Source organism: Homo sapiens, chromosome 8 (genome assembly GCF_000001405.40).
Source record: "Homo sapiens chromosome 8, GRCh38.p14 Primary Assembly".
In the NCBI taxonomy this organism is placed as follows: Eukaryota; Metazoa; Chordata; class Mammalia; order Primates; family Hominidae; genus Homo; species Homo sapiens.
The window spans coordinates 102,774,595-102,798,822 of NC_000008.11; the positions used below are offsets into that span (position 1 = coordinate 102,774,595).

General features: G+C 48.7%; 1 long non-coding RNA gene across 1 annotated transcript, besides 12 other annotated features; it reads right to left on the reverse strand.

Moving 5' to 3' along the window:
- Nucleotides 1-1,341: 1,341 nt before the first annotated feature.
- LOC124901999 (uncharacterized) lies at nucleotides 1,342-14,463 on the reverse strand. The gene is made up of 2 exons (XR_007061040.1): nucleotides 13,058-14,463; nucleotides 1,342-5,321 (listed from the first exon to the last, which is right to left on the reverse strand). It is a non-coding gene; the product is annotated as an uncharacterized LOC124901999 (long non-coding RNA).
- Nucleotides 2,289-2,793: an enhancer, noted in NCBI's record as "H3K4me1 hESC enhancer chr8:103789111-103789615 (GRCh37/hg19 assembly coordinates)". NCBI's record gives its function as "activates a minimal SCP1, AML or CMV promoter by ChIP-STARR-seq in naive H9 embryonic stem cells {active_cell/tissue: H9 hESC(naive)}" and the evidence as "EXISTENCE:reporter gene assay evidence [ECO:0000049][PMID:30033119]".
- Nucleotides 6,977-7,476: an enhancer, noted in NCBI's record as "H3K4me1 hESC enhancer chr8:103793799-103794298 (GRCh37/hg19 assembly coordinates)". NCBI's record gives its function as "activates a minimal SCP1, AML or CMV promoter by ChIP-STARR-seq in primed H9 embryonic stem cells {active_cell/tissue: H9 hESC(primed)}" and the evidence as "EXISTENCE:reporter gene assay evidence [ECO:0000049][PMID:30033119]".
- Nucleotides 8,155-8,655: an enhancer, noted in NCBI's record as "H3K4me1 hESC enhancer chr8:103794977-103795477 (GRCh37/hg19 assembly coordinates)". NCBI's record gives its function as "activates a minimal SCP1, AML or CMV promoter by ChIP-STARR-seq in primed H9 embryonic stem cells {active_cell/tissue: H9 hESC(primed)}" and the evidence as "EXISTENCE:reporter gene assay evidence [ECO:0000049][PMID:30033119]".
- Nucleotides 14,139-14,258: an enhancer, noted in NCBI's record as "active region_27773". NCBI's record gives its function as "activates an Ori minimal core promoter by ATAC-STARR-seq in GM12878 lymphoblastoid cells {active_cell/tissue: GM12878}" and the evidence as "EXISTENCE:reporter gene assay evidence [ECO:0000049][PMID:35858748]".
- Nucleotides 14,329-14,588: an enhancer, noted in NCBI's record as "active region_27774". NCBI's record gives its function as "activates an Ori minimal core promoter by ATAC-STARR-seq in GM12878 lymphoblastoid cells {active_cell/tissue: GM12878}" and the evidence as "EXISTENCE:reporter gene assay evidence [ECO:0000049][PMID:35858748]".
- Nucleotides 14,329-15,285: a biological region, named in NCBI's record as "H3K27ac-H3K4me1 hESC enhancer GRCh37_chr8:103801212-103802107".
- Nucleotides 14,390-15,285: an enhancer, noted in NCBI's record as "H3K27ac-H3K4me1 hESC enhancer chr8:103801212-103802107 (GRCh37/hg19 assembly coordinates)". NCBI's record gives its function as "activates a minimal SCP1, AML or CMV promoter by ChIP-STARR-seq in naive H9 embryonic stem cells {active_cell/tissue: H9 hESC(naive)}" and the evidence as "EXISTENCE:reporter gene assay evidence [ECO:0000049][PMID:30033119]".
- Nucleotides 14,929-14,988: an enhancer, noted in NCBI's record as "active region_27775". NCBI's record gives its function as "activates an Ori minimal core promoter by ATAC-STARR-seq in GM12878 lymphoblastoid cells {active_cell/tissue: GM12878}" and the evidence as "EXISTENCE:reporter gene assay evidence [ECO:0000049][PMID:35858748]".
- Nucleotides 18,088-18,292: a silencer, noted in NCBI's record as "fragment chr8:103804910-103805114 (GRCh37/hg19 assembly coordinates)". NCBI's record gives its function as "represses an EF-1alpha promoter that drives an FKBP-Casp9 reporter gene in an ReSE screen in K562 erythroleukemia cells {active_cell/tissue: K562}" and the evidence as "EXISTENCE:reporter gene assay evidence [ECO:0000049][PMID:32094911]".
- Nucleotides 20,491-21,001: an enhancer, noted in NCBI's record as "H3K27ac-H3K4me1 hESC enhancer chr8:103807313-103807823 (GRCh37/hg19 assembly coordinates)". NCBI's record gives its function as "activates a minimal SCP1, AML or CMV promoter by ChIP-STARR-seq in naive H9 embryonic stem cells {active_cell/tissue: H9 hESC(naive)}" and the evidence as "EXISTENCE:reporter gene assay evidence [ECO:0000049][PMID:30033119]".
- Nucleotides 20,737-20,976: an enhancer, noted in NCBI's record as "active region_27776". NCBI's record gives its function as "activates an Ori minimal core promoter by ATAC-STARR-seq in GM12878 lymphoblastoid cells {active_cell/tissue: GM12878}" and the evidence as "EXISTENCE:reporter gene assay evidence [ECO:0000049][PMID:35858748]".
- Nucleotides 23,216-23,265: an enhancer, noted in NCBI's record as "active region_27777". NCBI's record gives its function as "activates an Ori minimal core promoter by ATAC-STARR-seq in GM12878 lymphoblastoid cells {active_cell/tissue: GM12878}" and the evidence as "EXISTENCE:reporter gene assay evidence [ECO:0000049][PMID:35858748]".

Genomic DNA, 24,228 nt, shown 5'->3' on the forward strand with positions numbered 1-24,228 from the left:
CCTCTGCATCCTTATCTCTGCCTTTGGATTACACTGTGAGCTTCACAGCAGTTATATTTTATGTTGATGACACAGCAAGTGATAATAGAGTCCCCAGTGCTATGTGCCCCAGGGGACCGCAGTGTGCCTGGTGGTTTCCATATATCCTGCCCACAACTCTATAAATATTCCTCTTATTAAACTCTCTGCACATTACCCAATGTCCAATATAAGTGTGCTCTTAATTGATGAAATGTAACATACCCCCACGGTTTTAAATGGTATGATGCTATGCTATTACATAGCAACTAACTTTTTTCACTTTCTGTATCGCCTGTATCTTTCCATGTCAGCACAAATAATCACCCCTATTAATACTTGCATGTGCCATCTAGAATGCATATTTCCTAACTGGTGTGACCTTCCCCACTGACAGACATTTAGGTTGTTGTCAACTTTTTTCCCTTTCACAAGCACTGACACAATGAACATACTTGCATATGTCTGTCTGTCTAAGCTGTGTTTCCTTGGGTTAAACATGCCTGATATAACTTGAAGGTTGGCCAGGTGCAGTTACTCACACCTGTAATTCCAGCACTTTGCAAGGCTGAGGCAGGTGGATCGCTTCAACCCAGGAGGCGGAGGTTGCAGTAAGTCAAGATTGCACCAGTGCACTCCAGCCTGGGTGGCAGAATGAGACCCTGTCTCAAAAAAACAAAAACAAAAACACACACAAAAATTAGCCAGGCATGGTGGCATGCACCTGTAGTCCCAGCTACTCGAGAGGCTGAAGAGGGAGGATCACTTGAACCTGGAAGGTGGAGACTGCAGTGAGCCAAGATCATGCCACTGCACTCTAGCCAGGGTGACAGAGTAAGACCCTGTCTCAAACAAACAAACAAACAAAAAACCTTAAAGGTCAAGGAGTAGGTTCTGGAGCCATATCTCCTTGGGTACAAATCCCATCTCCTTTATCTAATGGGAAAGCTCGTCTCTTCTGCCTAATGACTGTGCAATTGTGGGTCTATTTAACCACTCCCCCACTCCAGTTCCCTTAACCATAAAAAGGTGATAACACCTTTCCATAGGGGCATTGAGGGGGCCAATCTCACAGGGTCAGCCTAAGGATCCAATGATATAACCATGTAAAACATCTTGTACATTCAGCCTTTCCAAGATTTCATTTCGCCGTCTGTAAGATGGTAACATTACATCCCTGGTTGATTGGATTTGAGGATTAAATCTCATAGGGTTGTAAAGATTAAGTGAAATAATCTGAGTAAAGCACTTAGCACCATGCCTGGTCCCAGAGTAAGTGCTCCATAAACATTAGCCCTTGTGGTTATTGCCTATATTCTCTACTAAGTTTAATATTTTATTACAGGTATTATGACTACTATAAGTTTTACAGCTGTTATATCTTACATTGATTATGGTTCTTAACAACTAAAAATATTTGCTCAGAGTAATCTAGGAAGAAGGCTTTACTTAAATGGACCCTTTAGACGTAGAAATGTACACAGAAACATAGGTTATTAATTTGTTCCTTGTTGCTTCCTATTGGAAAAATCAACCAAAGTTCTTTCCGTAGAGTAACATGTGAGTATTTGGGGGCTGGTGGGTGAATGGGATGGATTGCTTTGATGATTATTCCCATGAAGATGAACTCCAGATTTCTATTTTTCTCCATCTGGAGAAAAACACACATTTTTGCCAACATGCATATTTGCACCTCACCACTACATGAGCAGGCAGAGGACACATTGGGGAAGGAGCCCATCCTGAGTCCTTGAACTATGGGAACCTGTAAATATTGGGTGGGAATACTAATCCCACGGAGCATTCCGGGCTATCAGGTGAACCAGGTGAAGTGCCCTGGCAGCTTCAGAATAAACATCTACAAAGGCCAGGGTGTTCACAGCTGTTGAAGAGGAGCCTGTGGATTTTTGGAACTGACACCCCTGCCAGAGAACTACTAGTTTTAACTGCAGTTGTGACAATTAAGCAAGAGACCTACAAACATATTGCTTAACACTTGTCTGTCAACACCCGGGCTGTCCACAGACCTGTGGCTGCCTTCTCATGGAACCTGACATCTCTATTTGGACAGTCTCCCCTGCAAAGTGTTTCCATCCAGAGAAAGTTCACCAGGGAAGCAAAAGGCATTAGGGTTTGCAGTCCCACTGCCCACTAGGGCAAAAGCCACTAGGACGGGCATCTAACCACGTGGGGCTTTGGAGAGTCGAAGCCAGCCTGGGGTGGGGGTGGGGTGCTCCTCCTGCAGGTCCCCTCTCCGCCCCCCCCTTTCTGGCACAAAGAGATATGTTCTCTGCATGGCTGTTTGCCCTGAGAAGCTGGAACCAGGCCATGGGATGCTCAGGCTGACACAGGGAACATGATCCTGCCCGCTCAGCCCTCCACTGGCGGGAAGCTGTTGTCCTTACAACTCCAGTTTGGTGATTCTCAAACTTCAGTGTGCATCAGACCACCTGGGGGGCAGGGGAGGAAGCTTGTTAAGAAGGCAGATTCCCAGACACACCCCCATAAATTCTTACCCGATGGATGAGACTCTGCAACTGAGAAATATCATCCCCGTCAGAATCACAAGTTAAACTGTCCCCCAAGCAATGTTTAAAAAATGTCTGTGCCATCATTGAAAACTTGGGAGATTTAGTGTACAAATTTTGGCTGGGCACGATGGCTCACGCCTGTAATCCCAGCACTTTGGGAGGCCAAGGTGGGTGGATCACCTGAGGTCAGGAGTTCAAGACCAGTCTGGCCAACATGGCGAAACCCCGTCTCTACTAAAAGTAGAAAAATTAGCCAGGCATGGTGGCGCGTGCTTGTAATCCCAGCTACTCAGAGGCTGAGACAGAAGAATCGCTTGAATCCAGGAGGCAGAGGTTGCAGCGAGTCAAGATAGCGCCACTGCATTCCAGCCTGGGTGACAGAGAGAGACTCTGCCTCAAAAAAAAAAAAATTAAGGCCGGGCACGGTGGCTCACGCCTGTAATCCCAGCACTTTGGGAGGCCGAGGCGGGCGGATCACGAGGTCAGGAGATCGAGACCATCCCGGCTAAAACGGTGAAACCCCGTCTCTACTAAAAATACAAAAAATTAGCCGGGCGTAGTGGCGGGCGCCTGTAGTCCCAGCTACTTGGGAGGCTGAGGCAGGAGAATGGCGTGAACCCGGGAGGCAGAGCTTGCAGTGAGCCGAGATCCCGCCACTGCACTCCAGCCTGGGCGACAGAGCGAGACTCCGTCTCAAAAAAAAAAAAAAAAAAATTAATTAAAAAAATAAAATAAAAATTTTATTTTCATCCAGAGCACAGGCAAGACCAAGTCTACTTTACCAGTCAGTAGTAAGAAGCCGGTACTATGGAGCATCTGCCCTTGAGGCAAGGCTGGCGCCCTCCAATCCAACCATGCACACATGCTGCGTGCACACTCATCACTCTGGCCGTGTCCTGTACATCGACTTTGAGTTTGTAAACTCTGCTCCATTCTTCCAGGATGAAGAGAAATAGCAGAGCCTAAAGCATACGCCTTTCGGCTTTCCCAGCTGCAGCGAGTTGTATTCATGTCCCTGCTGCCTGGCCTCTTAACTCCACTCTACTAGAGCATTTCTCACTAGAATAGAACTTCCAGAAGGGAAGGGCTTTGTCTATTTTGTTCTCTGCCATCTTCCTAGTGACTACCGTGGTGCCTGGAACACAGTAAAGGTCAAAAGTATGTATCAAACAACTACAATGATAACACTTCACATTACTAGGATGGCTATCATCAAAAAGACACCAAGTAGCCAGGTGTGGTGCTGCAGGCCTGCAGTCCCAGCTACTTGGGAGGCTGAGGCAGGAGGATTGCTTGAACCCAGGAGTTCAAGACTTCAGTATGCCATAATCTCACCTGTGAGTAGTCACTGCACTCCAGCCTGGGCGACATAACAAAAAAAAGAAAGAAAAGAAAAAATAACAAGTGTTGGCGAGGATGTAGAAAAATTAGAGCCCTCATTGCTGGTGGGAATGTAAAATGATGCAGCCACTTTGGAAAACAGTGTGGCGGTTCCTCATATGTTAAATGTATAGTTCACACAAAAGCCATCAATGCCACCCCTAAATATAGACCCAAGAGAAAGGAAAACAAGTGTTCAAACAAAAACTTGCACATGAAAGCTCATAGCGGCATTATTCATAACAGCCAAAAGGTGGAAACAACCCAAAATGTCCATCAAACAGTGAATGGACAAACAAAATCTGGTACTTCCATACAATGAAGTATTATTTAGTCATGAAAAGGAATGAAGTACTGATACATGCTATGACAAGAATTATGCTGTAAAAGAAGCCAGATGCAGAAGGCCACATGTTGTATGATTCCACTTATATAAAATATCCAGGACAGGCAAGTCCATAGGGACAAAAAGTAAAGTAGTGGTTGCCAGGCCCTGGGAGGAGAGGGGAATGGGGAGTGACTACTTCACAGATACAGGGTTTCCTCTGGGGAGGAAGATATTCTGGAACTAGACAGTGGTGATGGCTGCACGACATTGTAAATGTACTAAATGCCACTGAATTGCACACTTTAAAATGGTTAAGACGGTGAATTTTATGTTATGTGTAATTTACCACAACAAAAAAAGTTTCGGATGAATGAATGAATGAGTGAATAAATGAGTCTTCCACCGCCATGCCCTAAAGGCCAGGTGTTGACAAGGAAAGTCTAAGTTGTCTCCAGAGTCCGGTCCCCACCCCACCTTCATCCTTGCGGTACACCATCTGTCCTGGGAGGGCAGGCGGGGCCCAGCTCCAAGCTGAAAATGGGGCAGAACAAAGCTCCTTGGCTCTCCATCTGCTTCCAAATCTGGAAGACGGAGTGGGCAGTCACGCCCACCACTCAAGACTGCTGGGAAGACAAGCAAAAGTTCTCTGCACACCGTAGACCCGCAGTGAGTACTGCTTCCCTTCCAGTCCTCCACAGGGGAGCTATCGCGGGAGGGATTCCTCAACCCACACAGCACCTGGCTCGGGGTGGGCTGGCTGCATGTTGTGGGATCCTGTTGGGGCCTGGACATTTGCTGTGCAGGCGAAGTGCTGAGAACACCACCCCTCAAAGTTCCACCTGGCAGGTGTCCATCCCTATTAGTAGAGCCCACGGTTCCCAACATTGTACTGCACACAGCATGGCACTCCATTACTACCTAATTTCTTGAGGATCAATGAAAACACACCTGCTTTCAAGCAGTGGAAACTTCATCCCCGAAAGACAGTCCCTGCCACAGGCTGTGGCACTCTTGAGTGATGGGCTGCAGTGGTGGGGTGTAGTGGACAGCAGAGTCACTGGAACCTGGTGATACAGAAAATGGCAGAAGCCACTGGATCTGGAGTCCTGGCTCTGTCCTTAAAGGAGTGGCTTTAACCTGTATGCTCCTAGGCTTTTGTGAGAATTTAAAAAGACTAATGCGGGCCCCGCGCGGTGGCTCATGCCTGTAATCCCAGAACTTTGGGAGGCCAAGGTGGGTGGATCACCTGAGGTCGGGAGTTTGAGACCAGCCTGGCCAACATGGTGAAACCCTGTCTCTACTAATACAAAAAATTAGCCGGGAGTGGTGGCACATGCCTGTAATCCCAGCTACTCGGGAGGCTACTCAGGAGAATTGTTTGAACCCGGGAGGCGGAGGTTGCAGTGAGCAACAGTTGCCTGGTGACAGAGCGAGACTCCATCTCAAAAAAAAAAAAAAAAAGATGAATGCACCTAAAATGGTGTTATTGTGCACCCCTATACATTTTACCACTGTCATGCACCTAATGTGAGTGATCACTACATGTCAGCATGAGCATCATCTAACATCCTGCTCTCTTTGCATCAGAGCTGACTATAAATAAAAATTCCACTCTGTCCACATTCACAACCCATCAGGGAATCTTGATCTCAATGGATGGAAACCAGATTACATTGTAGTGATTCCACCATGACGGCGGCATCTGCTCCCTAACAGCCACTGTGGTGGGCATTTTCTCAAGGTCGTCTCTTTTGGTTCATTCTTCCAGGAGCCTTATAAGGTGTATTATTTTCTCCTCTTTATATATGAGGCTGAGAGGTTAAGTCACTTGCACAAGATCACATACCCAGAAAGTGAAGGCACTTCAAAGACTGCACCCTTCCCATTCATTTATTCATTTATCCTACAAGATTCATTAGGGGCTGACCACTGTGCTGGGCCCTGGGGGAGCAGATGACCAGACCTGGCCCTGGGCCTCACTGAATGTACCAGCTAGAAGAGAACAAGTAGACAGATGATTTCAATGATGAGGGGATGCGAGTGACCCAGTGAGGAAGAGGGGAGGGCTCTCCAGGAACATCAAGCGCTTGTGTAGGCAGGGGTAGGAGACAGCCTCAGGGAGGGTGGGAGGATGGAAAACTGCAGAGAGTTTTGATTACCTGGAGAGCAAGGGAGAAGAGTGGGTACCCACAGTGGTGGTCAGGCCAGATAACAAAAAAGCACTCAAATCATGATGAAGAGCTCAGAAGCCATCCCCTGGGCAGCCGGGAGTCACTGATGAATTTTAAGCGGGGGAGTGATACGATCAGATTTTCTGTTTCCATGTCCTTTGAGCCTGCAAATGTTCCATAAGACCCACAAAGCAGCTGTAATGCAATCCCCCTACACACCTTCCTGGCCTGTTCATTTTTCACCCACATACATTTAAGAGTCTTGCTCATAGGTCAGGAAACAGGCTCTGAGGCAGACTTACATGGGGCTTACTAGGGAGATAGCTAGAGCTACGCCTGCAGGGAAGTCAATGAAGCAGGATTGGGTAGGGCAGAGGCTGAACTGAGATGCATTTGCAACAGAGACCTCAACTGGTCCTGTGGAGAGCTCAGAAGCCCGGATGTCCCAAAATAATGCAAGGGGCCAGGTCTGTGTACCCCCTCATCAACAATTATTGTATGCAGGTGGCACGGGGCCCATGGCCTTGGACCAGGCAGCTCCCTTCGGCTGAGGGCAGCGTCTGGGGAGGGACTCAGCTATGAGCAGTTAGCAGGCCACACTTCCTGCTACTGGGGATGGAGGTCCTGGGTCGTGCAGAGGGTCTGGGTGGGACACTAGCGTCCATTGCAGCCTGCTTGGCTCAGAGATCTGTGCCAACAAGTCTTGATGTGTGCTGTTTCCTGGCTCTTGCCCCCATCTGCTTCTGCAGGAGCCAGTCCTCTGCAGAGTTCCCCTTGAATATGTCAGGACAGCAGCCAAGACACAATTCCTATCTTTTTCCCCCTCTCCTCTTCTGCCAGGGACCAGCTCATGTACTTCCGCAGTACCTGTCAAACTCTTCCCCCACCACTCTACCTGGCTGCCTATACATGAACAGACAGAGCTATGCAGTCTTCTGTGGCAAAGCGGGGTACAGAGTATTCCCCTTTGTGGCACACTCCCCTAAAGGAACCCTAAAGAACTTTTGTGCCCAGCTACTCAGGAGGCTGAGGTGGGAGGATCCCCTGAGGCCAATTCGAGACCAGCCTGTGCAACATAGCAAGACCCTATCTGAAAAACAAAAAAACTCCTAGGCTTCAGTTTACAGGGTTAGCTCCTTGACTTACTCCCTGCTGGGCTGGGGAGTTAAAATACCTAAAGCTGTGTTTCTCAATCCTGGCTGCCCAGTAAAATCCCCTGGGAAACATTTTATAAATATCAACGCCTGGGTCCCACCCCCAGCCCAATGGCATCAGAAACTTTGAGGGTGGGGCCCAGGCACTGTGTTTTTTAAAATTCCCCTGGTGATTCTAAATATGCAGCCAGGGTTGAGAACCAGTGACTTTGATTTTTATTTACATGGATCAGTCTGGGTGTGTGGAGGGACAGAGGTGATTTGGAGGAGAGCTGTGAGGATCCAGAAGATGATGGGAGTGGAAAAGAGGAGGTAGAGACTCAGAAGCAGAATAAATAAGGGAGCTGGGTAAAGGCAGAACAAGAAAAGCTGGAGGAATCACCTGGGGAGCTAAAGGAATGCTGGGAATGAGCTCCCCACCACCAGGGATCCCTATTTGATCGGTACAGGTAGCTGAGCACTGGGGAAAGACATTCAAAACAGCCAGGTGATTTCAATAGGCTGCAAAGCTGAGAGCCGGAGCTCCAGGCCATGCCATGGCCTCTTATCTGGGAGCCTCACCACGCAGGTGTCCAGGTGGCCTCCACCCAGTGTAGACAAGCCAGCCATGCTTCTCGCCACCTGGACCCTGGGGTGAGGTCTTGAGCAACATCAATTTCCATCCAATCTAAACTTAAATATGGGCACGCCCAGCCTCCCTCCTGGGAAAGCGTCTGAGTGGAGCTGTTCTGCATGACCTGGGTGGCCTTTTGTGACATGTTCTCAGGGGACTCTGTGCTGGGCTGTCTGCTCCTCCTGCCTAACTGTATTGGCACATGGTTTATCCTGTTCAGCATTTTCTTATATAGGTAATCTTTTTCTAAAAAAGAAATTGCTTGTTTTCTAAAGGCAAATGTAACACACTATTTTCCCCAAAAAAAACATGAAGTAGAAAATGAAAATCGCCCTTAATCTCAACACCCAAAGGTGACGCCAGTTGAGAACTGGAGAACCAGCAGCTGACCTGGTTGTCACAGCTGGGGCTTGATGTCCCATTGAGCACAATCAGCGTCTCAGAGCACCAGCACCAGCCAAGGCCACTGTGACTGTGAAGATCGAAACAAAAACAAGAGCACAGTCCAAACCACAAAAATAACCCACCATCCCCCTATCCTGGCTAATGGGTGACTATTTTCTTTGTTTTTGTGTGTGGTTGTTGTTTCTACCAATTTATAGCCTCAGTCAATTCATCTCCATAAGAACTATTAGACACTCATCTCATCCAATCCAGAGCAAAGATCTGCTTCCTTGCACCATCCCCAAGCTTCCAGCTACCTACCCCAGGCCCACATCTTATTATGAGTCCTTTCCTGCTCCTCTTACTGGGACACCCCACGGTTCCCATGGTGTGCGTGCTTCCAAACTGCAATAAGCTGGTAAACCCAACTCCACGTGTGGTCCTGGTGGTCTCTGGCTGGGGCGCATTGACACCACAGAATTTGGAAAATACCCCTCTAGACATTATTTTTTCTATGAACATAGATATATTTTTATTTTAAAAATGAGAGAGGACTGCAATTCTTTTTTTTTTTTTTTTTTCTTTTTTGAGCCAGGATCTCACTCTGTCACCCAGGCTGGAGTGCAGTGGTGTGATTATAGCTTACTGCAGCCTCTAACTCCTAGGCTCAAGTGATCCTCCTGCCTCAGCCTCCCAAGTAGCTGGGACTACAGGTATGCACAACCACGCCCAGCTAATTTTTAAAGTTTTTATAGAGATGGGGTCTCCCTATGTTGCCCAGGCTGCTCTCAAACTCCTGGCATCTAGCAATCCTCCCACTTCAGCCCCTCAAAGCACTGGGATTACAGGAGTGAGTCACCACGCCCAGCCAAGAGAGGACTATAATTCTATTTTGCACTTTAAAAAAATGAGCAATCTCTTAGGAATATTATTTGAAAGAGCTGTTGTTGTACAGATGTTGTAGGCTCACTAATACCACTTTCTAAGTGTGTGATGATATGTTTCTTTAAGGCTTTTGAGAGCAGGATCTAACGCTTTTTTTTTTTTTTTTTGAGACAGAGTCTCACTCTGTCGCCCAGGCTGGAGTGCAGTGGCACGATCTCGGCTCACTGCAACCTCCGCCTTCCAGGTTCAAGCGATTCTCCTGCCTCAGCTTCCCAAGTAGTTGGGACTACAGGTGCGCACCACCACGTCCAGCTAATTTTTGTATTTTTAGTAGAGACGGGGTTTCGCCATGTTGGCCTGGCTGGTCTCGAACTCCTGAACTCAGGTGATCCACTTGCCCTGGTCTCCCAAGGTGCTGGGATTACCAGTGTGAGCCATTGCACCCAGCCCTAATGCTTTTTTGATATCAGCCATGGACTGCTGGCTTTCTTTGGCAAATTCTGAGAAGGATCACCTCTTTACCAGGCTTTGGGTGTGGAGAAGCCACAGGTGAGGGCGGAGATACTGCAACCATTCCCCATGGGGCAGGACACAGGGCCTCTCAGGTGTGGCAGGATAAGTGGCCACACATGCAGAGCCAAGCTTCAGAGCTGGCTTTGAAAGGAGGTTCTCACTCCCCAGCCCCAAAGGTGGCTCCCCCAAAGATCAGGCATGTGGAACGCATTTCACTCTCAGCTTTCAGAATACCCACTGCATTAGAGGGGATTCATTTGGGCTAATAAGGCTTGGAAGCCATTTGGCAGATTTATGTTTCAGAGAGAGGTTCTCCAGGGCAGTGGAGCCAACAAAATTCGGAAACAGCAAGGTCAGTTCAGCTCTGTTAACTAATTCAACACAAGTCCGTTAAATCAATGCCAGGCAATGGGCCTTGTTCTAGCTGAGTGCTCCTCAACCTCTGCTTTGTACCCAAATCACCTGGAATCTGCTTACGACAGACAGATTCCCTAAGTCTGGGTCGGGTCTGAGATTCCGCATTTCCAACAAGTCCATGAGTGCTGCTGATGCTGCCAGGGAGTCACCAGGCCCTTGCTGTCCTGCCAGCATTTGCTACCCCCCTAAGTCTCCTGCAAAACCCCCCTCACTGCCTGCCAACAGGAGCAGAGAGTGTATTGAGGATCACATGACATATTGAGACCTCTCTTCCCACAGTGGAGAAGTCTTCCAGTCCGTGCATGGATGATGCCACCACTGGCTAAATGTCCTCTTCTCCAGCAGTTGAAACAGTAGCTTTGGCTGGGCACAGCAGCTCACGCCTGTAATACCAGCACTTTGGGAGGCTGAGGCAGGAGGATTGCTTGAGACCAGGAGTTTGAGACAAGCCTGGCAACATGGCAAAACCCCGTCTCTACAAAGAATACAAAAAGTAGCTGGGCATGGTGGCACACACCTGTAGTCCCAGCTACGTGGGAGGCTGAGGTGGGAGGATCACCTGAGCCCAGGAAGTGGAGGTTGCAATGAACTGAGATCTCGCCACTGCACTCCAGCCTGGGTGACAGAACACCCTGTCTAAAAACAAACAAACAAACAAAACAAAATGAACCCCAGCAGCTTCGACATCCCTCCCTCATGTGCAGCTGTACCTGGGTGATATGAGACGACACAGACAGGGAGGGATCCCACCTTCCTGCTGGAGAGTTGCCTGGGACTGTTAACAGACCTGCTCCTAAGGAGCCCTGTTCAAGGACCAAAAGACCTAGAGGCCCTGGAGCTCCAGACTAGTACCCTCTGCCCATCTCTAGGATTATCTCCTTATAAAAGTTCATTATTCCAAATTGAGAGATCAAAACACAAGTAGGTTCAAAAGAGTTTAGCTTCACGCCACTGCACTCCAGCCTGGGCAACAGAGCAAGACTCTGTCTCAAAAAAAAAAAAAAAAAAGAGTTTAGCTAACTTCCTGATGGACATATTCAGAAAACGCCACTAAGACGGGAAATCCAGCTGGCTGGAGAGTAAGAACTCCTCCTCAGGCAGGCCTTTCTGTCCTCCTCCATCCACTGCTGGACCCTGATCCAGTCCACTGGGGCATTTCTTATGCTCCCTGGTACCCGCTACTGTCTGTGCCACCTCGGCCATCACCTTGGGTCCCTGTTCAGCCCCCTCACCCCCTCCTAACAAGGGGTGCAGTTGCAGAGGGGCCTCTGAACAATATCAAATGAATAATGCCTATGTCTGTAGTGACTAAATTCTACAGTCCGGAGCTGCCATTTTTCTTGTTCTAGAGCTGTGCATCCAATATGGTAGTCACCAGACACATATGGATATTTAAATTTACAATTATAATTAAATAAATTTTAAAATTCAACTTCTTGGTAGCACAAGCCACATTCTAAGTGCACAAGGGCCACATTTGACTAGTGGCTACAGTATTGGGTGGTGTAGATGTACAATGTTTCCATCCTTGCAGAAAATTCTACTGGACAGTGCAATCTAGATGTTTCTCCCCAAAACCCACTAAGGTCATAGAATGCCTTTGGGTGTTTTAGGAAAAGGCCCCTCTTCCTCAAGACATCTTACTGACCCCTACAGGAAAAACATAGAAATAAATATACAAATCTACAACCACTGATAAATAGCACCCGAGAGCTGTGCAGCGCACAACCTGCACCTTCATCTGCAACAGCCCTGATGAAAGTCCTTCACTGGTCCTTTGAGTTTCACTTATCTCTGTTTTCTCCATTTTCAAAGGCCCCTGCTATGAACTGGATGTTTGTGTTGCTCCAAAATCCATGTGCTGAAGCCCTTTCCCCAGTGTGATGTATTTGGAGGTTGGGCCTTTGGGAGACCCATTAGGTTTAGATGACGTCAATACGGTAGAACCCCCATGGTGGGATAAGCGCCCTTATAAGAAGATGAGGAGACCAGAGCTTTCTCGCCACATGCACACACCAAGGAGAGGCCATGTAAGGACATGACCTGGAAGAGGCCCTTACCAAGAACCCGACCATGCTGGCACCTTGATCTCAGACTTCCAGCCTCCAGAACTGTAAGGAATAAGTGTCTGTCTGTGGGTTTTTTTTTTTTTTTTTTTTTGGATGAAGTCTTGCTCTGTCGTCCAGGCTGGAATGCAGTGTCATGATCCGGGTTCAAGCGATTCTCCTGTCTCAGCCTCCTAAGTAGCTGGGATTACAGGCACCCCCCAACGATGCCCAGCTAATATTTGTATTTGTAGTAGAGATGTGGTTTCACCTTGTTGGCCAGGCTCATCTCTAACTCCTGACCTCAAGTGATCCGCCTGCCTCGGCCTCCCAAAGTTCTGGGATTACAGGCGTAAGCCACCGCACCCGGCTGTCTGTGGTATTTTTGTGAGAGCAGACTGAGCTGAGTGAGACAGCCTCTTATCTTCTTTTTCCTGGGGGGGGGGGGGGGGGGGGCGGGATTTTGCAGTTGTTCCTTGTATTAGTTTCCTGTGGCCTTTGAAACAAATGACCACAAACTGGGTGGCTTAAAACAATAGAAGTGTATTCTCACAATTTTGGAGGCAGGAGTCTAAAGTCAAGGTGGCCTGCAATCTCTCCAAAGCCTCCCTTCCTTACCTCTTCCAGCTCCTGGTGGTTCTAGGCCTTCCTTGTCTTGAGGCTGCATAACTCCAATCTCTGTCTCTGTCTTCAGCAGGCCTTCTCCTCCTATATCACCTCATCCAGCCAATATATGTGCATTATCAAGTAAATGAAGACATGATTGAAGTTAAAGGTTAGAAGAAACAGAGCTGTCTCTCTTCCCTCCCAGCTCTCCTTCCTCAAGCCTTCCCAAACCCTACCCCCAACTCACTAATTCTCTCCCCACCCCACACAGAATTGAAAGTTTCTTGGCATTTTACTGCTGTAAGGCGATGATGAGGGGGAAACACAGTGACCCAATATGATGGGAGTGTCAGAAAGTATGAGAAATAGCCAAGGCCAAAAGGGGAAGATAAGGAAGGCTTGACTCCCTCTGTGTGGAGAGATCTGAGGAGGACTAAAGGGCAGGGCCAACACCTGGAATCCCTTGTAGGGTGGGAGGTTCTTCATGAGAGCCAATATCCCTAAGTTTCACCAAACTCAATTAAACACACAGGTCAGATTTATGAGGCTGGTCACCAGGGAGTGTGGTTTTCAGTCTGTCAGAATTACCAAATGAGACATCCAAGGACAGGAACCGGCAACGGTTCCCAACATGCTCAGGCCACTATGGCCTGGCCCACACCGCATGCACTCAATTCTGTGGGAGGAAGCTTGAGGGCCTGGGAGCTGGAGTTCCTGGCGTGGACACAGAGAAGTACAGCTGTTTCCTTTCAGCTTTATTTTCTAGTGGAAATTTCACAAGCCAAGTTTTGGAGGTGGGGAGAGGTGGGGAAAGATGGGAATCTGACAATGTAGAATAACAGAGTTGACAGTGGATGTTTCCTCCTGAGCTAAACCAGAATTTTCCTGGGCAGCAAAGAATAATAGAATGGGCCCAGGTTTTAGAGCCCAAGTGGTCTAGGTGGGATCTTTGACCCCGCCACTTGCTAACGGTGTGCCCTAAGGGTAGTTCCATAACCTCTCTGAGCTTCGATTTTGTCTTCTGTGCAAAATAGGGCTGAAGCACCTCACAAGATTATCACAGAGATACTCTGCTACTGGACTGTCTTCCTTCCCTTCTCAGCTCTCTAATGAACGCTCTGGCCCACATTTTGGGTTGAGGCCTCCCAGGCAGGCCCACCCGCTTTGTTCCTGCCCTCTTCCCTCCCTGTTCACCTAGAAGGGACCCAAGAGCAGCTCCCAGGAAGGCCTGCCCCATCAGAGCTGGCTAGCAAGGGGCCTGCGGGGTTGCTGAGAAGACACCACTGCATTCTCACCCAGTGACCTTTCCCCAGGGCTCCTAGGGAGTGGGTGCTCACATCTCCCCTTCCCAGGGTACCTTTGGGTGGTGCACAAATAACCAGTTACTCAGCTCATGTCCCTGAATTGGCAGGACAGCCTTGTAGGCCCCAGGGACATTCAGTGACCTCAGTCTCAGAGAATGTGGGGGAATTCCATGAGAGGCAGGACTGCACAGCCCAGCCTGAAGGGAAGGTCAGGGCAGGCTGGGGAGTTGACAGAGCCAGCTGAGGTGTGGGGTGGTGTACTGTACCCCTGGGTGTCAGGGTGGCCCCCACAAGCCCAGGGAAGACAGCCAGCTGCGTGGTCTGCAGGCCAGGCGCACTTGCGGATGTTGCCACACTGAGCCTGCCTCTCCCGCACTGGGGACTGCCCCCAGAAGCCTGAATTGTTTTCAAGGCTTCCTACTGCAGCTGCTGGGCCCCGCCTGTTTCCTCCCGGGAGACATTGCTCAAAGAGAGGCCCAGGGCCTTTTCCCAGCCCCGGGGGGCCGCCCTGGAGCCAGGCCTCAGAGGTCTCAGCTCTGGAGTCCCTGCCAGCTGCTTCTCCAGAATTTGCTTCTCTGCCTTCTCCTACTGGGGTGGAGATGAAGAGTATCTAGGATGGCCAGTTGGAGCAGATAACAATACAGGATGACCAGTTAAATGTGAATTTCAAGTAAACCGTAAACAATTCTTTATGATCAGTATGTCCCATGCAATATTCGAGACATACGAAAAAGTATTTGTTGTTTATCTAGAATTCAAATTTAATAGGCCACCTGGCAATCCTGGCCTCACCTCATTTTTTAAATTCTAAGAATATCCCTCTTCTCAGCTTCTTATCTGTGGGGAGACACTTAGAAATAAGGGCAACTGGGCGTGGTGGCTCATGCCTGCAAGCCCAGCACTTCAGGAGGCCAACATGGGAAATCGCTTTTGCCCAGCAGTTCAAGACCAGCCTGGGCAACATACCAAGACCTTGCCTCTACTTTAAAAAATTTTTATTTTAATTAAAATTGTAAAAGAAATAAGAGTACACATAAGGCATTAGTGTTTTCCATGTGATTACAAGTATTAATCTGGTTTTAAAACTCTGGGACACTGTTGATCTTTGCAAACATTTCCTTTCTTTCTTTCTTTTTCTTTTTTTTTTAAGACAGAGTCTCACTCTGTTGCCCAGGCTGGAGTACAGTGGCACAATCTCAGTTCACTGCAACCTCCACCTTCCAGGTTCAAGCGATTCCCCTGCCGCAGCCTCCCGAGTAGCTGGGATTAGTCACCCACCACCACGCCCAGCTAATTTTTTTATTTTTAGTAGAGACAGGGTTTCACCATGTTGGCCAGGCTGGTCTCAAACTCCTGGCCTCAAGTGATCCGCCTGCCTCAGCCTCCCAAAGTGTTGGGATTACAGGCATGAGCCACCTCACCCAGCCGCAAACATTTCTTAAACTAAACTTTGTATTAACTACATATTACATAGTTCCTTATTGTAATAAAATCTCCAGTGGCTAATTTGTTTTCTGTGCTTTTCTTTCTGTATTTTGTTACCCATATGTGTTTTGGAAATGTCCTGCTAGCGTATGGGAGACTACTCTATTCTTATCTAATTATCAATGCTGTTGAAGGAAAATATCCTTTTACCTTTCTCTCCTGTTCCTTTTAAGAAAAACCCAAGCACGAGCCTGTACTCTGTTTCCCCTGGAAAAGGAAGCTGCTAGGTGGGTCCCAGTGTTTTTGGGAGGGTGGCTCCTGGTGAGTGACAGACACCCCTGGTGTACGCAGAGTCTTAAATGTCTGCTCTGGACTTTGAGTATGTGAGGCCAGAGGCCCAATTCTACAGGCTGGGCCGGAGGAGGGCGTTTTTGGATGTTTTTAGGGCTGTGAGAATGTGTTCCCTTTATTTGTGCCTCCTTCTGCTTCTTTTCCCATCTTTTCTCCAAAGGAATAGAAATATCAATGTTCTAAAGTCCAGAGTCACAGGATGAGGGTGTTGGGGGTAGAGCTCCTCCAGGGCCTGCACAAAGGTCCCAGGTCTCTGCCTCTGAGCATGTGGTGGGGACCTGAGTCACCTTGCAAATGCACCCCAGCTTGGAGAGCCTGCCCCGGCAGCTGCCCGACCCCTCCCAGGCCCAGCTGCTCCTCTAGGTCACTCAGGAAGAAGCCTTGGGAACATCCTGGCCTGCCTGTGGCAGCACCCTGGCAGGGTACCAGCTTGGGGCCCTTCCTACCCTTGCGGGGAGCCAGCATTGGAACCACCCCGCTGAGTCTGGAAATCCTCAGTTTTCTGACGCAGTTCCTCCTCAGCCACGAACGCAGGCAGAGCCTCCCCGGGGGGGGGCCCTGCAGCTCACCAGCTGCCGGTCTCTCCCCCAACCTCCCACGTCTCTTCCCACACCTGCCTTCCAGTATTCTCCAGCACTTTGTCAGGATGCCTTAATGAGGCTAGGTTGCAGCAGGCCAGCAGCATACTCACCTGGCTCAGGGAGTGTGACACAGCGTACGTGCTACCAAGAGCAGCTCCACTGAACTCCCATGTTGACAGCAGGGCCCTGCCTTCCCCGAACATGGGCTGGCAAGTTTCCTCCATCTCTCACCTTCTAAATCTACTAGGAAGCCCTGTGGTAAAGCTCTCAGTCTCAGGCTGAGATTGCTGGGTTCAAATCCTACCTCTCCTACCTCTCCTACTTACTAGGTGGAGTGACCTAACCTCTCTGGGCCTTAGTGTTCTCATCTGTGAAAGGGGGATAATAACCATCCTGTATCACAGGCTATTGTTGAGAATTAAATGAGGCAACACATTGAAAGAGCTTAGAAAAATGCCTGGTACATAGTAAGTGCTTATTAGATGTCAGCTGTCATCTAGATTTGCCAGGTGTCCTCTATGGTCATCAACATTTAGTCCCTGCAGTGGGCAGCACTCAGTACAAGGCACTAAATTGCAGACATAAGAAATACAAGCTGTCGCCCTCAGCTGCTGCTTTTAGGTACCCTTGGAGAAAACCTAAAAGCACCTGCATAGTAGATTTCTCTTCTCTCTCTTTCTTTTTTCTTTCTTTCCTTCTTTCTTTCTTCTTTTTTTTCTTTTTTGAGACAGAGTTTTCCTCTGTCGCCCAGGCTGGAGTGCAGTTGCACGATCTCAGCTCACTGCAACCTTCACTTCCCAGGTTCAAGCAATTCTCCTGCCTCAGCCTCCTGAGTAGCTGGGATTACAGGCGCATACCACCACACCTGGCTAATTTTTGTATTTTTAGTAGAGACGGGGTTTCAACATATTGGCCAGGCTGGTCTCAAACTCCTGACCTCGGGATCTGCCCGCCTCGGCCTCCCAAGGTGCTGGGATTACAGGCGTGCACCACCGTGCCCAGCCTCTCTCTCTCTCTCTCTCTCTCTCTCTTCCTTCCTTCTTCCTTTCTCTCTTTTTTTCTTTTCTCTTTTTCTTTTTCTTTCTTTATTTCCTCTTTCTTTCCTTTCTCTATTTCTCTTTCTTTCCTTTCTCTCTCTTTCTTTGAGAGGCTCTCACTCTGTTGCTAAGGCTGGATTGCAGTGGTGTGATCTTGGCTCATTGCAGCCTCAATCTCCTAGGCTCAAGTGATCCTCCCACCTCAGCCTCCCAAGTAGTTGGGAAGAGAGGCGTGTGCTACCATACCCAGGTAAAGCATAGTGGATTTCTGTTTTGCTTTATGGCCACATTTGCATGAATCCTTTGAATGTTCCTCCTGCACTTGGAGAAAATCTCACAATAAATGTCCCTGCCTCCCCAGGGTAGAAGCCAGAAACTCGAATTCTCAGCATCCCTTATGGTAGGGAATGGGCCATGGCCAGGCTCCACATCAGAGGGACTTGGGTGAGAGCCTGTGGAAGCAGGAGACCTCAGGTGCCTCAAGGGCGGGTGCTCCCCTCCGTGCTTTCGTACACTTTTCTATAGAAGTCATTGCAGATTGAATTGTGTCCACCCCCAAAAAAAGATGTGTTGGAGTCCTAACCCTCAGGATCAGAATGTGACCTCTTTTGGAAATAGGGTCTTTGCCAATGATCAAGTTAAGATGAGGTCATGAGGGTGGACCCTAATCCAATGAGTCCTTATAAAAAGGGGAAATTGAACACAGAGGCAAACCTCACACAGGGAGAACCCCATGTAAAGATGAAGTCAGCATCAGCGTGATGTTTCTACAACACACAAATGCCAAAGATGGCGGCAAACCACCAGAAGAGAGAGGCAGGGAGCAGGTCCTCTATTACAGCCCTCAAGAGGAACCAGCCCTGCTGACACCTTGACCTTGGACTTCCAGCCTCCAGAACTGTGAGAGGATACATTGCTGTTGTTCAAGCCACCCAGATTGTGGTATTTTGTTACAGCCACCTTAGCAAACTATATGGAGGGGAAGCTCCTATGTGTTGTGTCAAATGTAAGCTCCTAAGAGCAGGAAATTGTGTCTGTTTTATTTATTGGTGCATGAATGGTGCCCAAGAAATGTGTGTTCAATAAATGAATGTCTTCTCCATAATTCCCAATGCAGAACATACAGGATAGGAAAAGGCCAGTCTTTGAAAATCCCACACACTTCTTATCCATTACCCTCAGACCTCAGCTATGGTCCAGGGAGGGACTGTGCCTGCCAGTGCCCCAACAGACATCCACAGAGACCTCTGATGCAGCGGGGTCTTGGGAGTTGGGTAGGCAGTGGGGCTGGTGGGTGGACATCCAGCCTTGTGGCTTTCAGGCCTATACCAAGAGCTGAAGAGACCGTAGAGATCCTACTCCAACTCTTCCATTTAAAAACACAAAGCCCACAAGTCCCAATGAGTATTTAGGTATCTCCCTGACCCATCTCTTTCCACAGGGCACAGCCACCCAAATCAGCCTCAGGCTTGGCTGAAAGATACATCAGCACGGACCATTTCAAATCTGTTCCATGCCATTTTTAGGTCTCTCTCTCTCTCTCTCTCTCTCTCTATATATATATATATATGTGTGTGTGTGTGTGTGTATATGTGTGTATGTGTGTGTACATGTATGCATATCTATTTTATGCTTGGCAGGGTCACACTGAGGAGGTGCTTCGTGGCAGGGAGCACTTCTGAGTTCTGAAGAGAAGGAATCCTGTTGCCTGTGGTCACACAGTGGCTCTCGTGACATGCTTCCCAGCCAGAAGAAGGGTCTGCACAACGTACTTGGCTAATCTAAGTGTGGTTAGGTTGGGAATCTTCTCTCCCTTGGACTCTGAGTGTGCAAGTGTATGTGTGCACCTGTGTGTGCGGGAGGGAGAATGTGGTAGGGGAGACCTAGGAAGGCCCCTCCCAGAGGAAGAGGTGAGGCCGCCTGCCCAGGCCTCTCTCCATCTGCCTGCGCAGCCCAGATCAGAATGAGGACCGAAGCCCCCACATGGGTCCCTGGGAGTCCAAGGGCACTGCCCAGAGGGGTTCAGCCTCCAGGCCACACCCAGGCTGGTCTGGGAATGACCCTCCTTTGTGTTAAGAAACATGAGCCTCCTGGATTCCACTTGGGGCTGGTGTGTCCCTCACAGAGAGCCCTTTGTGCCTGGGAGAGGGTTGGCCCCTATTCTGGCAGCCATCCAGATACTGCCTGCCTCGAGCCACCCTGCCCTGGGGCTCCCCACCATTCCTCCTCTCCAGCTGCACCTCCCTTCCTCCCAGGGTGCAGTCTCCTGCTGAGGGCAGGGCACCCAGGGGAGCCTGAGCTGTGCCAGAAGCATGACCCTGAGAGCCCCAGGCCAGAGACTCGGATGAAGCCAAGGACTGCTGTCATGGAGAGGAGAGAGCTCTGGGGACAGCCCACATGTGGGGACAGCCCAAAAGAGTCGGGGCTTCTTGGCGGGCCCATTTCAGGGCATCAGGGATGAGAAACATCCATCAGGGCCAGGCCAGGGCTCCATGACTGCTGCTCTGAAGCAACAAAGCCCCCTACTCCACTTTCATCTTGCCAGGGCAGAGGGTGGGCTACAGCGGGATCTGGCTTGTTGCTGGGAGACACCATCACTGAAGGTCCGCGATTATCATTGCAACTGTTCATGTTCCTTTAAAAAATTAAATTAAAAAAAAAACCCAACATGAGAAATCTCATGCTTGTCAGAGTCGTCCTCCCCCGCTGTCGGCTCCCATTATGAATCCGTGGCATTTTCTGCTGAGAGTTAATTACATGTTGTGTGAAAGATACCAGGCTTCCTTTAAAAATTTTTTCTCCTGGATGGGTTTTGACCCCGTCAGCTGCCTCCCTCTGCTTCCTCCCTGTGCAGCAGGAAAGAAGGGCATGCTTGGGGGAGGCACAGGCCTGATGTCCCGGCCCTCTGCTCCTCAGAGCCCGCGTTCCTCCCGCTGATTGCTCAAGGCCTCCCTGAACCCAGGCAGTTGTCACCCAGCGCCCGGAGAGCCCGCTCCTGCCAGAGCGCGGGGATCATGACAAAGCACAAATGGAGGTGCTATTTAAGGTGCCAAGCACTTAGCCCTCCACAGGCTGTTTCCTCTCACCCTCCTCCCTCACAAAAAGGGGGGTCAGGTGGAGGGAGGGGTGCAAATGGCTTCCTGAAGCCATCCCTGTGAAGGCTCAAAAGGGAATGTGACCCCTCCAGGAGGCGAAAGGCAGAGCCTCCCAGTTGCTGGTTCTTTTTTTCTGCTTGCTCCCACACATAGACAAAAATTCTCATTCTCGAGATGGCTCATCTTTTCTCCTAAGAGGCGATGACCCGCTCCGGAAGCAAGTGTGGACTAATACCACGAGTTATTGCCTCTCTGCAGTGTTGAATTTCACCTCTTTAAGAGATGGCCAGTGGCACAGCTGTTGGGACCTCTCAGAGCACGTTACAACACCCCTTGCTCTGACAAGTCACAGCGTCTCGGAGCTGGAAGGGCCTTCTCAGCCAACCCCTGCCCTGAACTCAGGCACATCTTAAAGAATTTGTAGTTGGGCACGGTGGCTCACGCCTCTAATCCCAGCACTTTGGGAGGCCAAGGTGGATGGATCACCTGAGGTCAGGCGTTCGAGACCAGCCTGGCCAACATGGTGAAACCCCATCTTTACTAAATATACAAAAAATTAGCCAGGCGTGGTGGTGGGCACCTGTAATCCCAGCTACTCGGGAGGTTGAGGCAGGAGAATTGCTTGAACCCAGGAGACAGAGGTTGCAGTGAGCCGAGATCATGCCCTTGTACTCTAGCCTGGACAACAAAAGTGAAACTCTGTCTTTTAAAAAAAAAAAAAAAAAAAGCAGAGAATTTTCTACTGTCCCCAGATATTAGTCTTGTACACCAATCAATAAAGGAAAACTCAAGATTGTGAGTTAAAAATAATCATGTCTATAATGACAACTCTCAACTAACTACATACAGAATACTTACTTTTTAATGGGGGCAAAGTACTTTTCTTCATTCTAAACTTGATAGTGTTGAGTATGGGGATGTCAACTCATTTTAATTGTTAGGACAAATTAAGAAGAGCACTCTGCTGCCACTAGATTCCAAAATAAAATATAATTATGAATTTTATATTATTTTGAATAACTTGCTTTGCAGCTTCCCATCATAGGTACAACCAAGAATTGACTTTATAAAAAGAATAACAGCTCTCTTTATTTGGTTTTATTCTTCAAAGCAGTGTTAGGTCAGTCATAGTGGCTCATGCCTGTAATCCCAGCACTTTGGGAGGCCAAGGCGGGAGGATCACTTGAGGTTAGGAGTTCAAGACCACCCTGGCCAACATGTCGAAACCCCGTCTCTACTAAAAATACAAAAATTATCCAGATGTGGTGGCGCGTGAACCTCCTCCTCCTGGGGGGTTGCAGTGAGCCAAGATCACACCACTGCACTCCAGCTTGGGTGATGGAGCGATACTCTGTCAAAAAAAAAAAAAAAAAAAAAAGCACAGTGTTGAGTACTGAAAGGGCTGAGGAGGCACATTCGGCTAGTGTGACAAACCACTGGATTACTGAAGAGTGGGTCGTCCACAGCCTCTAAATCCCAGGGGTTTCAAATGCAGTGTGTAAAACCTGTTAAATTGAAAAATCCTGTGCCCTGTGCCCAGAGATTCTGATTTAGTAGGTCTAGGGTGGCACCTTGCATTCTGCATTTTTTAGCAAGCATCATGGCTCATTCTGATGCAAGCAGCCATCCTTCCAAGTGGAGAGACTCCACAGGGGTGATGGCTGTGGCTTATAGGCAAGGGAATCAGCTGGACCCCAGCAACTGCTGCTCTCTTCCCAGCCACAACTTTCCTGGAATGCACATTTCAGGAAATTACTTGTATATGTATTTTTTAAAAATTGTTTTTTCCCCTTGGTTATAAAGCTAATGTAAGGCTGGGTGCAGTGGCTCATGCCTGTAATCCCAGCACTTTGGGAGGCCGAGGCGGATGGATCACCTGAGGTTGGGAGTTGGAGACCAGCCTCACCAACATGGAGAAACTCTGTCTCTACTAAAAATACAAAATTAGCTGGGTGTTGTGGCACATGCCTGTAATCCCAGCTACTCAGGAGGCTGAGGCAGGAGAATCGCTTGAACCCAGGAGGCAGAGGTTGCAGTGAACTGAGATCATGCCACTGCACTCCAGCCTGGGCGACAAGAGTGAAACTCCATCTAAAAAACAAAAAAAACAGAAACAAAAACAAAAAAAGTGCCAAGTGAAAGTGAAGACACAGCCACGTGGAGAGAAAGCCATGTGCAGAGGGTGCCGTGATGCAGCTGGAAACCAAGGAACGCCAATGATTGCCCTCCAGGAACAGGTGAGGAAAGCAGAAGGAGCCCTGCTGCCACCTGGACTTCAGATCTCTAGCCTCCAGAACCGTGAGAGAATGAATTGCTGTTATTTTGTCCGGTGCTTTGTTGTGCAATCCTAGGAAACTAATCTACTATATGTTCCCTGGTGTGGTGTCAGCTGAGCCCGAAAACCTAAGGTACAAAGGACAGTTCTTGCTCCCTCTCAGAAAGGCATCCAGTCCAGCCTGCTAATCTGTTTTCCCTGGGAACATTTCTTGCTTCTGGTCACAGGAGCAAGAGCCCAGTAAGGGTCCATCAGAGGCCTGTCATCCATTAGGGCAGGGTCTGGTTTAATGCTTTCTTCAGGGCCACATCTCACGTGGTAAGAGGAACACACAAAAAATCAACGTAGTGTTTTTCTTCAAACTCTTGGATTTTGGCCAGCTGCAGTGGCTCACACCTGTAATCACAGCAGTTTGGGAGGCTGAGGCAGGCAGATTACTTGAGGCCAGGAGTCCAAGACCAACATGTTGAAACCCCATCTCTACTAAAAATACAAAAATTAGCTGAGCATGGTGGCACATGCCTGTAATCCCAGCTACTCAGAAGGCTGGGGCATAAGAATCACTTGAACCCGGGCGGCAGAAGTTTCAGTTGCAGTGAAAGGGCAAGACTCTGTCTCCAAAAAAAAAAGCTCTTAGATTTAACAAAATGGAATAAGTATTTATTAGGCTCTTTCAACACCTCCTGGATTAAAGCCTCATTCAGCAGCTCACACTTTGTCACTGATCAGGCCTCAGACGGATTCACTACCAGGGCCTCTCAGGCCCTAAGCCCCTGACTGTCAGGCTGGGAGGTTGAGCTACTGTTACATTCCTGACTACTCCTAGATCCGTCTTTTCTCTCGTGGCTTCTGAAAAGTTGCCCTCTCAGGTTGATCGTCTTGATCTTGGACAGAACTGGGACCTAAAGAACCCCATGTGCGTATTATACACTTAAGGAAGTTGTTACCTCAAGAGTTAAAAGTCTAACACATTTTCAGCCATCCTTTACCAAGTGCTCACTGGGTGCCACTTACTTCCTCATGTTCTCACAAAAGCCCTACAAGGTAGGCTGTGATATAATAAGAAACATATATTTGGTCTCTTCCCCCAATTCCTGGCCCCGAGCTCCTAAAAC